The sequence below is a fragment of the Homo sapiens genome, chromosome 2 (assembly GCF_000001405.40).
Source record: "Homo sapiens chromosome 2, GRCh38.p14 Primary Assembly".
Classification (NCBI taxonomy): Eukaryota; Metazoa; Chordata; class Mammalia; order Primates; family Hominidae; genus Homo; species Homo sapiens.
The window spans coordinates 141,222,454-141,240,331 of record NC_000002.12 but is presented as its reverse complement, the minus strand read 5'-3'; the positions used below and the strand labels follow the sequence as shown (position 1 = coordinate 141,240,331).

The following is a 17,878-nucleotide window of genomic DNA, read 5'->3' as shown; positions in this document are numbered from 1 at the left end:
ATCCTCTGTATCAATTGCAATCAACAGGGACTGAAAAAAAAATCTGGGGTAATAAAAGCAGTTAGAGAATGCCCTTTGGGCACTCCTTCCCCTGGAGAGCATAATTGCCTTTGACAGAGATAACTAATATTCCACATATTTCCCCTAATCAGGATGCCTAAAATCATTTTAGTCTTGAGAAGAGAAAACCTGTTGCATTGATTTCATTTTTAAATGTGTGTATTTCTTTTAGGACTCACACAGCCTCTGTCGATGACTCCCACAAAAGATAATCCCCACCAAATTATTAAATTATATCTTAGTACTCTTTGGATATTTAGAACATCAAGTTACAAAGAACATAGCTGATAAAGTAGCTAGAAGTTTGATACATCAGAATGATTGAGTACTTAGAGTACTTAATCTCTCTTTATAATAGCAAAGTAGAAATTTGTGATCTTACTTATAAATTTTATATTTAAATCCTTGTCAGACAACAGTGAAATATATTAAATGACCTTTACTTTTTCCCATCACTAGATAATGAGTTTCATATATCTACCTCCCTTCTCCTTATTGTGAGGTGACGATCTTATTTCATATTTCCTTGAGAAAATAGAAGCAATTAAAAGAGAATTTTCTCACCCAAACTCCATTACCTCTACTAGTCTATTTGAATCTAGAACTAATCGCTCCATCTTCCTCTTATTTGAATTAGAAAACTAACTTTTCTCCTATCAAAGGCCAATCCTGCAAATATATACAGATCCTATCTTCTCTCACCTGTTCGAGGATTAGACTCATATAATTGTCTTCTTTATTTCTTTAATCACTGGTATTTTCTTTTCTCTTAGGTCATTCACATCAGCATACAAGCAAGTTGTAAAGATGATGCAAAACAACTTCCTTTAAACCTATTTTCCTGTCCAGCTACTTCTCCATTTTTCTTTTTCCTGCATAGAAAAACTCAGAGTGTTGTTCCTTTTCCACTTTCCTTTGCTCTGCTCTTTAATCGCCTTCAATGAATCTTACATTATTCTTATCAGTCACATCTATTGCCAAGGGCTTCAGTGACCTCCCATTGCCTAATTAGTTGACTATCGGTCTTAAGCACACAACTGACAACTGTCTCCTTGAAGGCTTTACCTTTTAAAGCAGCACAATCTTGAAATTTTGCTCTTGCCTTACTGGGCATTTTTTCTCAGTTTACTTTGCTTTATTATCTTCATTTTGCCAATACTTTTGGCATGATTCAGCGTTCAGTCCTTTAGACATCTTTTTATTGATTTCCTAGGATGTTTCATCCTGTATCATGGCCTTAAAAACTTACCCTCTGCCATGGCATTAAAAAATATAAAGAGACTGAGACTCCCCAGTTTTTATCACCAGTTATGACGGCTCTAGACTCACAGATCCAATTATATATTCAATATCTCCATTTGGATATTTAACAGAAATATCAAACTCTATGAACTTTTGATTTTCTATCTTAATAATGCTCTTTCTTCAGTTTTCCATCTTGGCAAGGTTTCCAAATTCACCTAATTGTTTAAGCCAAAACATTGGATTCATCCTTCACTGCACTCTTTTTCTCAAACCCTTTGTTTATAACTTTGTAAATACATTCTGAATTAGATTACTCTCTCTAAAGATAAGCCCTCATCCTCATTACTCCTATACGTTACTCACTTTCATAGAATTTATCACTGCCAAACAATATTCATATTTGTTTACTTGCTTATTATCTTTTTTATGTACTAAAATTTAAGTTCTATAAAAGCAAAGATTTTGTTAGTTTTGTTCACTGTTGTATTGCTAGCATCTAGACCCTGGCAGAAGCTAGCCAGGCTCAATAAGTATTTGTTGAATGGATAATAAATATTCAAATACTGAGGCAGTATTTCCCTTTTAGGAGCCATATTAAATGTGGCTCTTCTAAGGACCCGTGTTTTCAAACTGAAATTACTTTATAAATAGGAGTTACTTAGAAGCAATTTTCAAATGAGTCAATACCCATTACATTTTAAACTCAAATATTACTAATCTATAACATAGAGAAAGATGTCTGAGTAGAGAAAATATTTTTCTGTAGCTAAAGTATTTTCCACTGGCTACAATTAGAAAGGTCACTAGGAGATTTTTAAAGCAGCCATTAGCCACTTCTCAGTAACTAATATAAACTGACCATCACTGGACTGTCTGCTAGTTCTAATAATCATGTAATAATCTAAAATTTGAATGAATTATATTCTGAAATTTTGTGATTTACTTATAAATCTTCAATGGTTATCAATTACATATCTTTCATTTTTTCTGATTAAAATAACTGCATTATTTATTTCATTGTACTTATTGAAATACCTTATTATTTTACAATGTGTTAATTCAGTAAAGTCTCTTTAAAAAACATTGAGGAGTTCATATTCAAACAGTCCCCCATATTTCATTCATGTACTAAACACTTGCCACGTGCTAAGTAAGGCTTTCAGATAACAGGGGAAATGCCTCCTTGGTTTGGTTGGACCAGCTCTCTGCAAAACAGGGAAATTGTGAGAGCCGCCAGTTTGCAAAATGAAAAGATATGTTTGTGCTGGGGAGGGCATGATGTTATTGTCTTTTGTCGTGCTTATAAAATGGATCTTCTTCCAGAAAAACAATATACTGAATTGCTTCTCAATTATCACATTTCAAGTTGAAATATGCTGTGAATGAAGGTACCGGTATTTCACTAGTAAAGTCTAAATAGCAAAGTGACTAAATTATTTTAAGGTTTATGCTTAATTCAGGTTTATCAGTAGTTTACCTGAGTGAGTTTTTACAATGCCAAAGATAAGATTAAAAAGCACAGGTTTGGCACAGTGGCTCATGCCTATAGTCCTGGCACTTTGGGAGGCCAAGGAAGGAGGATTGCTTGAGACCAGGAGTTTGAGACCAGCCTGGGTAACATAGTGAGACCCCGTCTCTATATAGAAATCAGAATTAAAAAAAAAAAAAAAAAACACTAGAACACAAAACAAAACAAGATAAAAAACACAGCTTTAGCCATTGGACTAATGTGCCAACACTGAAATCATCATCTTCTCTAAAAACTGATTCTACTTTCTTCTCTTACTGTTTCTTTTAATGATACCCTTTATCCCCATGACCCACATCTACAATTTCCAAATAATCCTTGACTTCATGTCACTCGTTGTCCACAATACAACAATAACTGCAATTTTGAACTTCTGCTTTATTACATCAACCCATTTCTACTTAAGATTTCAACACCTCCTACTTTAGGTTCTTATCACCTTGTTTCTGAGAAATTAAAATGGCATTTCTGTGTTCAGTAATTCAGATATCTGATACCTGTGTCCACAAGTTTTTCATAATTTTGGGTTACTTTCTTCATAAAAACAAATGAAATTAATGCCATTCTCTATGTGACATGTAGAATCTAGTTTGGAGGACCATAGAAGAGGTTTTCTTAGGGAAATCTCTGAGAATTATCTGGGGCTTACATTTTTCCCAATGACCTCTGCTTCCAGTAAGAACATTGCCACATATGGCCATTCTTCATTTCTGCACTGCGTGAATCTAAACAGGAAAAAGGTATCTTTTCCATTCTCTTAACTCCTTTCCAACTTTACTCTAGATTTGAAGGCAGTGTGTAAGACGTTTCCATTTTACCTCAACGTACACATGAATTATACTTCTGACATGAATTATACTCTACCAACTAAAAAGTAAAATTATACTCTACCATTTATAAAGTAAAAGCAAGAACATTTTTAAATAATCCAACATGTTATCATTAACTATAGTTACCATGCTGGAAAACAGATCTATTTAACTAATTACTCCTGCCTGTGATTTTGCATACTTTGTCTAACATCTCCCCAACCTGATCCCCCAAATGCCTTAGCTTCTGGCAACAAACATTCTACTCTCTATTTCTATGAGATCATCTCTTTTAGATTCTACATGAGTGAGATATGTTTACTTGTCTTTCTATGACTGGCTTATTTCACTTAACATAATGCTAAGAGAAGGGATATTAAATGTTCCCACTACAAAAATGGTAACTATGTGAGGTAATGCATATGTCAATTACCTAGGTTTAACTATTCCACAATGTATGTATACTTCAAAACATCATGTTGTGCACTATAAAGACATATCAATTTATGTCAATTTAAATAAATAATCCCCCCAAATAAAAGCAAAAACATAAAATCTGGAAAGTTGAGTGGGAAATTTATACTTCCTACTGTATTCTACTTATCTTTCTCACTATATTTTACCCACCCACACAATATCTTACATATTATTTTTGACTTGATCTTCTTAAAGCATAGTTTTGATCACATTATACTGTATTTCTAAAATTAACACTGGCTTCCCATTGCAGCCAAAATTAAAAATAAGTTCATCATCTTGACATTCAATAGCCTGTACAATTTGTCCTTAACCTGTTTTGTCAGCTACTACAAAACTCTATAAATTTGAACTCAGTTATTTTCACTTAATAGCTATATTAACTTAAGTGAGTATTAATCTTAAAATGTGGTAAATATTAGCCGAATCAAAGGGATGTTCTGCATATACAGTGAACTAATAAATGTGAACCATGTATTACAGTGTCTGGCTCCTAAAATATGCTCGGAAAACATTAACTATTATTAGTGAAATACTCCACCAGTTATGCGTGTTGTACCCTGCAGAAAACTGAAAAACTGAGGTCAATCTCTCCTCAATATATTCAAATCTTTCACACATCTGTACTTTTGTCAAAGCTGTTTCTTTTGCTTGACTTTCTTTTATCCATCTCTGCATATTGAATTCTTGTTCTTCCATTAAGGCAAGGCTGAGACCGAATACCAACACCATCAGGAAACTTGTGCCTCCACTAAGCAGACATATCTAACCATTCTTTGAAACTCAATGAGATGATACGTCTTTTATGAAAGATATCATACCTGATTATAAAAACATAGTTCTTTGTAGATAACTTAAACTTTCTACTTGATTGTATCGTTCTTGAAGGCGGACTGTCTTACTGATCTCTTTCAGATCCCAGTTAATGCTTAGATGTATAAATACTAGATAAATTAATTAATTAATTAAAATATTTACCCAAAGAATACTTCAGCATAAATATATTGTGATTGATGATAAAAGGTAGTGCTAAGATAAATTGTAGCAATATTCATTTTCTTGCTCAGTCCAATACAGTTTTTAATGCCTTTTCGTTTTCCTAATTTGATTTATATATTATTTCTATAATAAAATGTGATAGAACAGTTTCTTCTGATATATGACAGTATGTCATTATTCTGAATATTATTCATTTTGGTAAAGAGCTTTTTTGTTAAAAAATAGTTAAGGAATGAAAACAGGGAGAAATCAATGTGACCATTATGTTTTGAAAAAGAAAATATTTCAATGCTATATTTTTTTCACTTATATGATATTAACTTGATTCACATTTTCAGTTTGGTTTGGTTGACTTTCATCTACAATTTATTATATATTTGAATACTGTAATACTTTCTCTTTCTTTTTTATTTTTTCTCCACACCATGATTCTGTATCTCTCCTTTTTAAACTACATAATTTTCTGTTAATATTACATATTTAACTTTTTCTGTTTTTTGCATCATTTTAGAAGTTTTTTAGAAAATTAGCCCTTTTGGCTGAGTACAGTGGCTCATGCCTGTAATCCCAGCACTTGAGGAGGCCGAGGCGGGCAGATCACCTGAGGTCAGGAGTTCAAGACCAGCCTGGCCAACATGGTGAAACCCAGTCTCTACTAAAAATACAAAAATTAATCGGGCATGGTGGTGCAAGTGTGTAGTCCCAGCTACTCAGGAGACTGAAGCAGGAGAATCGCTTGAGCCCAGGAGGCAGAAGTTGCAGTGAGCTGAGGTCACGCCACTGCACTCTAGCCTGTATGACAGAGCAAGACTCTGTCTCAAAAAAATAAAAAAATAAAAAATAAAAAATAAATAATTGCCCTTTTACAGATTTCATGCATTTTGTTTCATATATTAGTAATTCACTTCTTACATAAGTGTTAACAATTTTGATTAGAAGTTCTTAGTCTTCTCATTTCTAACTGCAAACCCATTTTCCTTATTTTTACAGCCTTTATATAATTTGTATATGATAAAATAAGAGTAAATCTGAAAAAAAAACCTCTTTCAATCTTTGAAGTTCATTACTGGCTTAAAACCGATTCTTTGTGTTGTATAGATTACAACTTTCTGTTTTATCACCATATTAGTCTGACTCTCCATTTTATGTACTTTATATGCAAGTCATTATTCAACGTTTTATGCAGTTAAAACTGGGATTTTTTTCATCTATGACTTCAGAAATATTGATGTGCACATGCTGGGAGCTTCATTTAGTGGAGATAATTGCTTACAAATACAATTACAGGTTTAATTAAGGAAAATTAGAATATAGAACAACTAGATGATATACATATATATATACATTTATTATATACATATGTTTGTTAGTTACATAATTATTTGTAAGTATATGAATTCATTACTTCAATCACTTAGAAGGAAACTAGCCAAATTAATATTCTTATAATTGAATACAAGAACTGGAGGTTTAAATGAAACCTTAAAAATGACAAGTTTTTATACACCCTGAAAACATTTATTTAGCACAACATATATATCAAAATCATATTATTATAAGTAAATAAATCCACTTTTAGTATATTTTTGACTGTGAGAAGATAAAGATAGGCTTGCAAGGACACAGTTATGGTGGCTTTGAATTTAAATAGGTATTTTTATGAACCTGGTCAAATAAGCCTTTCCAAGTTTCTCTTTTCAATTCACAATTTTAGAATCAGTCTTCAAAGGTTGTGACACTAATGAATACAACATACATTACAGGAAAAATCAAATCATTTATGATCATACAGAGCACAAATACTATTCTCCATCACAGGAGAGAGAAATGTTTTTAGGTCTGTCAACATACAAGGAGTGGTGAGGAGTATGAGGACAATTTTTCTCTTCTATCATGAATCAGTTGACAGCCTGCTGTAGGTGTTTACCCAACCAAAGTCTTGGTTCTCTAAGTTAAAATGTCACCTGTGTGCTTGTTTGTGCTTCAGTATCTTCTATGTGGAAGGTTAATGTTCATTACCTCTCACTAAGTGTTGACACAGGTATCCCTTTGACTGAAGTCATCTAATGTGCTTTTCAAGTGTTCTTTTGGGAAAACTGTCCATTGACTAAGGATGACAACCAATAAGATCATCACATTTATTCTGGTCAGTCTTATATCCACCTTACCCAAGCTGGTGCTCTTCAATTGGCATGTGGTAACGATGCACAACAGACATTAGATGTGGTGCAGGTAGAGATAGATTACATTTTTGCCAGGGCTATGCCAGTTTCAACTTGAAATACACTGAAAGAATTGGATCCTTAGACCTTGAGGATTTTTGTGGTTTCTCGTGTTTCAGTGGCTTCCTTCCTCCATATTTGACCTTCTGTCTAAAGAGGTAAACCACAGTTAGTAATTAGCAGAGACCCATGAAGATTACTTCAGTAAAGCATTCACAACTTATGTAGGTATCCTTCCTCCAGTATGTCCTTTGATCTTTTGAAGTCACCATTATTAAATCAAACCCTGTTAGATTATGAAGCACCTGACTTTAGAATTAGTGGTCGATATGTTTTTCACTAAAACAATTAACTGATTCACTCATCAAGCAGCTACAAAAACCAAGTAAGTTGACTAATTCTGTCAAATAAGCATTGCCTGTGTTAACCATGAACCCATTTGCATCTCAGTTTCTCAGGGGAATCTCAGCGCTCCTTTATATTCCGGCCTCTCTTCAAAGAATGTTTATGCCCTACATTAAGTTTACTGACTAGTAGCTAGCCAAAAAATGGCTGTCTAAATCTGGACTTTGCATAAAACTTTGCAGCAAGGATGCTTTCAATAGTGGGTCATTTTGAGTGAAAGTAGTTTCACTAAAGGTCATTTCAGTTGTCAAATGAAGACACTAAGGACTGACATTGTCAGTCTATCTTTGTTTACCTGATAACACACCCATCTAAGATTTTACTATCACCTGAGAAATCTATGATCCAACAGGTTTCAAGAGTGCCAAGGTCAACAGTAAAATGACAAAAGTAGGAGTAGAGGGGAGACTAAATCTAGATCCCCAAATTAAGGAATGACAAGGGCAAGTGAAACACAGTTAAAGATAGATTTAAGAGGTTAGGAGAGAAACTGACTAGCTAACCAGGCTCAGATGTGGTCAATTGACAAGGTTATGTTAAGCAGAGATGATTCACAATTCTACTGATGCTTCTGAGAGGACTTTGTTTTTGTGGAAATGATCTTAGCATTTTTAAGAATATTTTTGTTGTGGGTTTATACTCAGGCAGTCCTGGATAAGACTATTTTCTCCATTGGGAAGAAACTGTTGTGCTACTTAGTTTTATAATCTCATTGAGGCTTTTTTGGGTTATTTTTGTTTTACTGTTTTGTTGTTATTATGTATAAAAAATATTTAATGTCTTGTTAAAGGCAGACAGGAATCCTATGACTTGAGAGAATTTCCTGGGGGAGGAGAGGTTTATGGCAGATACATTTGACAACAATAATGTAACTTAAGCATACCTTGTATGGCAGGTGCACACGATAGCAATAACAATTTAAGAAAGGAAGGTTGCCACGTGGAGGTTGTGGGTGGCGGGGCGGGGCAGGGGTGGGGGTGGGGGGAATGTGCTAAGGGAACGTGCTACGTGCTATATAAGCTGCATGCTTTTCCCAAGTGGTAGTGATTCTCCAGGCTGCAGCCACTGGACCATCTCTGTGTGTAAGTTTCCCTAAATAAAACCCTGTGTCTTTTTTTTGCTACCTCTGGGTCTCTTCTTTGGCCTCTTGAACCTGGCACCACCCCTATTGAAATTAATAGGGGTCTAGCATGATGGGGATAAAAATGCCAATGCATGAATTATAGGATTGTTTTAAGCCTGTGAGGGGAGGCCCCAAATCATATTCACTGGAGGGCTCTTCTATCTGAGACAAACACAGGTGCCTGATATCCTGGCCCATGCCAGAAACAAAAGAAAGGCCACTAAATAATACTGCTTCAAAACTTGAGACTTAGTTACTTCCATTAGTTATAGTATATGCTCTGGTTTTTGTCCTACCTTTACAGTGCTCAGCTTCAGTTTCTTATAGAATGGTCAAATGATATTTATGAAATTTTCTGAATAGCTAGTCATACTCTGAATTCCCTTCATAGGTTAAATAAATTATTTTTGTTGCGTTTCATGAAATGTTTCTAAAGTCTTCTGGTGTGAGAATTCCATGTGTCCTTTTTATTTATTCAGAAAATCGGTATTGAATGATCACTAAGTTCTACGCTTTTTCTCTAGATGCTAGAGATAGAAGTAAATAATCAGAAAAATATATAAAACATACTATGGTGAATAAGAAAGAACTATGAAGGTGTATAGAAAGTATAGGGGCTTAAGATTTTTAGACGATAAAGTGCTAGGAGACTCCTCACCAGTAAAATGACATTTGCATAATGACCTAAAAGAGGTGAGCAAGTAAGCCATTCTGGTAATTGATAAATGATTATTCCAGGAAGTGGGAAGCCCCTCTGAGGTGGCAGCTTCCCTGGCTTGTTCAAGGAACAGTAAGAAGTGCAGTGTGTCTGGAGTGAGACGAACAAGAGTAAGAGTAGTAAGGAGATGAAGGAAATGAGGTTAAAGAAGTAATTAATATACAGATCAGGTAGAGTTTAATAGATCATTATAAGGACTTTGAATTTTGCTCTGGTTAAAATAGGAGCCCTTTGAGGGACTGAGTGAAGAACTGACCTTATCTGCCTTAGCATTTTAATGGTATAACTCTGGCTGTTGTGTTGGGATATTGTAAAGGTGAGAAGGGCATAGATGGAAAAAGGGAAACCAGGCAGAAAACTTTGAAATAATCTAGATGAGTGATCATGGCAGGATAGTAGCAGTCATTACTGAGAAGTGGTAGGATGTCTGATAGTTTTGACCTCATGGTCAAAGTGATTTATTGATGCATTAGATACAGATGAATTAAAGATTTCCACATATTTCCTATTTCTTAATTAGCAGAAAAGTTACTCTGAATATGATTGTATAGCTAAACTCTATCAACACGAATTTTCTATCAGATTTTACTGTTACGTTTAAATATGCTGTTGAAACTCTGGGAAATTTGTATATGTTCATCAAAAACTCAGTCCTAATACCAGCAAAGCTGCATTGTTCAAAAAAATGGTATTGAAGTTTATTTTATACCTAGAATCTTGTTTTCCTGACTGTAGAAAGTAGATGTGGAAGGAACTGGCTCAGTAATCACTATCTAGTCACTAAAAGAATGTGTGATTGTTTGGCTCTTGGGGTTGGTCAAGGAGCCAGTGAGGCCAAAGTCACAGGTGCACTCTTTGTTTAAGCTTATGAGCTTTGCATTTTCTGCTCCGGAGAATCTATTTCTGATCTCATACATTCGACTCAAAAAAACATTACCTTGCTCGTGAGGGTAACCTGCAAAACTGTATGGAGAGGTCAGTCTAGATCCATCATCATTTCTAGAAAAACAATTCACACCACTTCCTTTACTTACTAGCAATAAAAGTAAATGACATGTCCTCACATTTAGACAACACATTATGACTAAGGAAATAAGGAATACAAATGTGCTGCAGAATTTTTTTTTCAGAGAAGTACACTAAAACAGTGAAGTATACATATGACTTATAGAAAGTTTTTTTATAAGAAAATTTTTGTTATGAATTTATTAAAAGTATAGAAAATAGCTTTCAATAACTAGGGCAAAACTGTAAAATAATCTTGACTCTTACTGAATTTACTTCTCTTTTTCTATTTTATTCCAGAACCTACAGATAGACCACCTATACTATTAATTGCAAATTTTGAAACAATTGAGGTTTTCTATCTTAATGGAAGTAAAATGGCAACTCTAAGCTCAGTCAATGGAAATGAAATTCATACTCTGGATTTTATTTATAATGAAGATATGATTTGTTGGATTGAATCAAGAGAATCTTCAAATCAACTCAAATGTATCCAGATAACAAAAGCAGGAGGATTAACAGATGAATGGACAATCAATATTCTTCAATCCTTCCACAGTAAGTGTTTCAATTAAATATTATATGCCACCCTTTACTGATTTCATTTACAGACCCGTAGGCTGGATTCTCAAATTTCTAGCATAGCTCATGGCTGTTGGAAAGCTGTATGTGCAAATACAATGAACTTGAATTACTGTATTCACTACATGTTTTGCATATACAAACACATACACATAAACTTTCTCTATTTAAATAAGTCATAAATTGCAGAGTTAATTGTAATTATTTCTTTAAGGCTTTTTACAGTGTCACCTGACTGGGAATTGATTTTTTTATTCCACTGAGTGGTAATTCACAATGTGATAGTGAAGGTGGGATTTAAAAAAAGCAGACAGAGTTGATAATTATAAGTGCATTGACTGTAGTTAAAAATACCTTAAATAATTAGGTTTATGCTAATGGGGAGTAACTACCTGTGTTAACTCTCTTTAAAGGAAATTAATTTTTATACATCCTCTTCCAAAAAACTTGTGATTTGTGATTCACTCTGACTTCTCATGTCAGAAACTTGACAGACTGTCCTTCTCTTCCTGCATATTACCATAAACTGAAATCTCATTGTCACACATACACACACACACACACACACACACACACTCATACACACAGACACCCAGGGATGCACACATATTCTCTCTCTCCTTCTCTCTCCCTGCTTCCACATGGGAGTACACACACACACTCATACACACACACACCCAGAGATGCACACATATTCTCTCTCTCCTTCTCTCTCCCTGCTTCCACATGGGAGTACACACACACACTCATACACACACACACCCAGAGATGCACACATATTCTCTCTCTCCTTCTCTCTCCCTGCTTCCACATGGGAGTACAAAAATTGCTTTGTGTATGCTTGGGGAAACCATAAGAATGATAATTTTAACATGCATCCATTTAATTTATGATTTACAGAAAGTGTTTCTTACAAATTCGGCTAAAATAAAAATCTGTAGAAAAATTAAGAGAAGCCGGGTGCGGTGGCTCCCAGCACTTTGGGAGGCCAAGGTGGGTGGATCATCTGAGGTTAGGGGTTCAAAACCAGCCTGGCCAAACCCCATCTCTACCAAAAATAAAAAATTAGCCAGGCATGCTGGTGCACGCCTTTAATCCCAGCTACTTGGGAGGTTGAGCCAGAAGAATCGCTTGAACCCAGGAGGTGGAGGTTCCAGTGAGCCGAGATTGTGACATTGCACTCCAACCTGGGTGACAAGAGCAAAACTCTGTCTTAAAAAGAAAGAGAAGAGAAATGAAGAGACATGTGTACAATCAAGCGGAAAAGAAGAATGCTGTGATAGAATAAATGTGATTTTCAAATTTAGAATATTTGATCTCGTTTCAATAATTAAAGCTTTTCATATACATGAACTGGGTATTAACCCTTATGTAAAGAAATAATACTATGTAATGTTTGATCATTGTAATTAGATTAAATGAGTCAAAGGCAAATTGTGAAAAATAGGACATACAGGTATAATTTTATATACTTAAATGAACAAAGTGTTTAACAAATATTGTCGAACATTTTGAAGATCCTCTTAATGAAACAATTGATAAAGTTATTTATTGTGAAAATAGACCAAAAATTATAATGAAAGCGGTGGATATTTCAAGAATTCTATGGAGAAATGGTCATTCATATTAAATAATAATAAAGGATGGCACAAGGCAGATAATCCTTATTATGTAATTTATGTGATTTATTATGTAAGTAATAAGGATTATTTGCCTTCTGATATAAGTATTTCAGACATTGGCTTAGGCAGCAGCTAGAAACTGAACACAAGGCCACAGTCCTTGCTACATTAGTGATTACCTCAACTAATCCAAATGTATTTTTCCCAGCAAATGGAATACTGAATAGTCAAATAGCTAAAATATTCACTAAGTTGCGCAGTAGAATTATTTTCTGAGCGTACTTAAGAACTTTTTATCTACACTTAATATGCCCTAATAATGGTGTCTTCTCTTCTTTAATATATGTTTTAAAAACAGCTATTTGTTAAAATAAATCTAAGGAAGGTTAAGCAATTGCATATTGACTGTTGGTAGAAAATAAGTATAACTTAGATTAAATTTGATTTATTAAGCAATTCAGCAAACCTAGAAACATATATTTTGTTGTTGTTGTTGTTGTTAGGGAATTCACTGAAATGCTGAATAGAATATTCATTTTGAATAATAAAAAATAAGTTCACTGGAAATATTTTAATCTGAGTAAATAATTTGTGATGAGGTTAGGTTTAAGCATGCAATTACATAGTCACTTTAGAAAAAAGTGATTAAATATGTGGAAGTAATTTGATGATGGGAGTGGGGCAGGGGTGTGAGCAGGGCTGGGCTTCTCTGTCATTGCTTGTAAGCCATGCATTTTATCAACATGTCACAGAAGAGCTGCCATTGAATACGATGGGCTCTGTGTTCACTATGACAGTTTGTGAGATGATAATGAAGTTTGAATATTCTTTGCATCTATAATTACATAAAATCTTTGTCATACCATATAAGCAAAAATAATGAACTGATGGAAGTCAGCCTGAATACCTGTCACTATCCACTGTTTCAGAGATTCTCTTTAGTTCCTCCCACCCCCATTATATTTAGGTGCTTTTCTCTTACCTGAAGAGAACATGCTTTTTTGAGAAAATATAAACATTTTAGTTTTCAAAGGATTGCTATGAGAAGAAAAACATTGCAGGTCAAACTGACTTGCAGTTAACACTTCCATAATAATATAATAGTAAATATTTTATTGCAATATTTTAAAAAAATTGCACGTCTCATCTCACTGGATACCCACTGCATCTCTGGGTAGCAAGCAGGAGAGATATGCCCTTCCTGTTTTATAATAGATGGCATTTTTACTCAAAGTTCAGATGTATTAGGTAAAGCTGGATGGCTAAAAAGAATGCAGAAGTGGGACATCTAAGCCCTGTTTTTTTCTTTTACACTAGAAAAGCAAATCTACCTTCAATGATATATTTTAACTTTATTGAATATGCTGAAAGACTATCTGCAACAGGGAGATATTATTCTTTTGGTTTTTTTTGGGGGGGAAAATTGAGACTCTGAGCAGTTAGATAATTGTACACAGCATAATTAGGTAGGTTTGCATTTGGGTCAGACTTTATAGCTTTTTCTAAATACCGCTCTGCCCGTAGGTCTCAACTTTTTCATGTTAGCAAAGCAAAAATGATTAGGTCTACGAATATTAGTAATGTTGGCTTACAAAGACAGGCCCTCTAAGTGGGAGACAGTTATACGAATCTTGGAAGGGAGGTGGAAAAAGTGGGTTGTAGAAGTTTATAGCACTGAAAAGGCCCACCCAATGATTCTGATGTGGCCTCCTTCAAAGTCCTACATTTAACATTGTACATCATTCCTAAACAATATTGTGAGAGAATCAAGATGAATGATAATAATATGCTTAATAAAGTGTATTAATGAACCTTGGGGGGAAATGATAGACATTAAATTTCTTACTGAATTTTATTCTTTTTTATAACGATAACTGATATTTATTATTTAGCATTTTAGCTTGAAAGTTGCAGACTTTGGGGATAATTTTGGAGTTAGGTGTTTTCTAAGCAAAACTTGTTTTTTAAAAAAGTATTCATACAAAGCACATTTGTAGCAGCTGATTGTTTCCCAAAATTTTTCTTGGAGAATACTGTGGTAAGGACACAGATACCCAAAATAACAAAAATTATGGGATTTACAAAAGTGGTGAATTCCATCTGTTTCCTCGGGACAAAGTGCATAGAGATGATTGAGATAAGAATATTTTCTGACTTAATCTCTTATTAAGGAAAATGATTCAGAACCATATTGTCATCCCCCAGCTGCACAGTAAACACTTTCATTGTCTTTTTATGGGTGAATTCTTCAATACTCTGAAAAACTCAAGGATCACATTTAAGATTTTAACATGGATTTAGCCAGCTTCTGTTGAGCCACTCATGGGCTCAACTCCAATCCAGTAGAGTATACCTAGCTAAAAATAAAATAACTGCTTATTCTTCATGGATTTAGCTTCTGAATTAACCCCATTCACAGGCTTTTATCTTTTTCCTTAGCTTGTTTTAATGTCAACTTTAAATTACGTTCTATTTGAACCTCTAACTAGAGCTACTAAATTACGTCCTTATTGCATAATTATTGAATTCTGACAATTTTTTATCTTTTATTTTTAATTTAATTTCAAGTTCTGGGATACATGTGCAGGATGTGCAGGTTTGTTACATAGGAAAACATGTACTGCGGTGGTTTGCTGCACCCATCAACCCATCATCTAAGTATTAAGCCCAACATTCATTAACTATGTCTCCTGATGCCCTCCCTTCCCCACCCCACCCCCATGACAGTCTCAGTGTGTGTTGTTCCCCTCCTTGTATCCATGTGTTCTCATTGTTCAGCTCCCACTTGAACGTGAGAACATGGTTCTCTTGGTTTTCTGTTCCTGTGTTAGTTTGCTAAGGATAATGGCTTCCAGCTCCATCCATGTCCCTGCAAAGAAAATAATCTGTCTTTTTTATGGCCGCATAGTATTCCATGATATATATGTACCATTTCCTTTATCCAGTCTACCATTGATGGGCATTCGGGTTGATTCCATGTCGAATAGTGCTGAAATGAACATACACGTGCATCTATCTTTACAATAGAATGATTTATATTTTTGGCTGTATATACCCAGTAATGGGATTGCCGGGTCAAATGGTATTTCTGGTTCTAGGTCTTTGAGGAATTGCCACTCTGTCTTTCACAATGGTTGAACTAATTTACATTTCCACTAACATGTAAAAGCATTCTTACCTCTTGGCAGCCTCTGTTGTTTCTTGACTTTTGATAATCACTATTCTGACTGGCGTGAGATGGTATCTCATCACGGTTTTGATTTGGATTTCTCTAATCAGTGATGTTGAGCTATTTTCCACATGTTTGCTGGCCATATACATGTCATCTTTTGAGGTGTTTGTTCATGTCCTTTGCTCACTTTTTAATGTTTGTGTGTGTGTGTGTGTCAATTTGTTTAAGTTCCTTGTAGATTGCAAAAATTGTCTTCCATTCTGTAGGATGTCTGTTTGCTCTAATGATAGTTTCTTTTACTGTGCAGAAGCTCTTTAGTTTAATTAGATCTCATTCGTCAATTTTTGCTTTTGTTGCAATTGTTTTCAGCAATTTTGTCAGGAAATCTTTGCCCGTGCCTATGTCCTGAGTGGTATTATCTGGATTTTCTTCCAGGGTTTTTATAGTTTTGAGTTTTACATTTAAATCTTTAATCCATCTTGAGTTAATTTTTGTATAAGGTGTAAGGAAGGAGTCCAGTTTCAATTTTCTGCATATGGCTAGCCAGTTTGCCCAGCACCATTTATTAAATAGGGAATCATTTCCCCATTGCTTGTTTCTGTCAGGTTTGTCAAAGATCTAATGGTTGTAGATGTGTGGTCTTAAATCTGAGTTCTCTATTCTGTTCCACTGGTCTGTGTCTGTTTTTGTACCAGTACCATGTACCAGTTTTGGTTACTGTAGCCTTGTAGTATAGTTTGAAGTCAGGTAGTGTGATGCCTCCAGCTTTGTTCTTTTTCTTGGGATTGGCTTAGTTATACAGGCTCTTTTTTGATGTCATATGAATTTTAAAATAGTTTTTTCTAATTCACTGAAGAATGTCAATGGTAGTTTAATGGGAATAGCATGGAATCTATAAACTGCTTTGGGCAGTATGGCCATTTTCATAATATTGATTCTTCTATCCATGAGCACAAAATGTTTTTCTGTTTATGTCCTCTCTTTCTTTCTTTGATCAGTTGTTTGCAATTCTCCTTGAAGAGGCCCTACACTTCCCTTGTTAGCTGTATTCCTAGGTGTTTTATTCTTTCTGTAGCAATTGTGAATGGGAGTTGATTCATGACTTGGCTCTCTGCTTGCATATTGTTGGTGTATAGGAAACTAGCGATTTTTGCACATGGATTTTGTATCCTGAGACTTTGCTGGAATTGCTTATCAGCTTTAGAAGCTTTTGGGATGAGACAATGGGGTTTTCTAGATATAGGATCGTGTCATCTGCAAACAAAGACAACTCAACTTCCTCTCTTCCTATTTGAATCCCCTTTATTTCTTTCTCTTGCCTGATTGCCCTGGCCAGAACTTCTAATTCTATGTTGAATAGGAGTGGTGAGAGGGGGCATCCTTGTCTTGTGCTGGTTTTCAAGGGGAATGCTTCCAGCTTTTGCACATTCAGTTTGATATTGGCTATGGGTTTGTCACATATGGCTCATTATTTTGAGGTATGTTCCTTCAATTCCTAGTTTATTCAGAGTTTGTAACATGAAGGAATGCTGAATTTTGTCAAAGGCCTTTTCTGCATCTATTGAGATAATCATGTGGTTTTTGCCTTCGGTTCTGTTTATGTGATGAATTATGTTCATTGATTTGCATATGTTCAACCAGCCTTGCAAGTTGGCTTGCAGTAATGAAGCCAACTTGATTGTGGTAGATAAACTTTTGGATGTGCTGCTGGATTTGGTTTGCTGGTATTTTATTGAGGATTTTTTTGCATTGATGTTCATTGGGGATATTGGACTAAAGTTTCCTTTTTTTGTAATAGCTCTGTCAGGTTTTGGTATCTGGATAATGCTAGCCACATAAAATGAGTTAGGGAGGAGTCCCATCTTTTCAGTTGCTTGGAATAGTTTCAGAAGAAATGGTACCAGCTCCGCT

The 17,878-nt window shown here is 34.8% G+C and overlaps 1 protein-coding gene across 3 annotated transcripts in view; it reads left to right on the top strand.

Annotated features, from left to right (window-relative positions):
• LRP1B (LDL receptor related protein 1B) overlaps positions 1-17,878 on the top strand; it is a 1,899,594-nt gene that overhangs the window by 890,685 nt on the left and 991,031 nt on the right. For all 3 annotated transcript variants that reach the window (NM_018557.3, XM_017004341.2, XM_047444771.1), the window contains exon 6: positions 10,892-11,149. In NM_018557.3, the coding sequence (NP_061027.2) occupies positions 10,892-11,149 (258 nt within the window). The remainder of the gene's footprint in view (positions 1-10,891; positions 11,150-17,878) is intronic.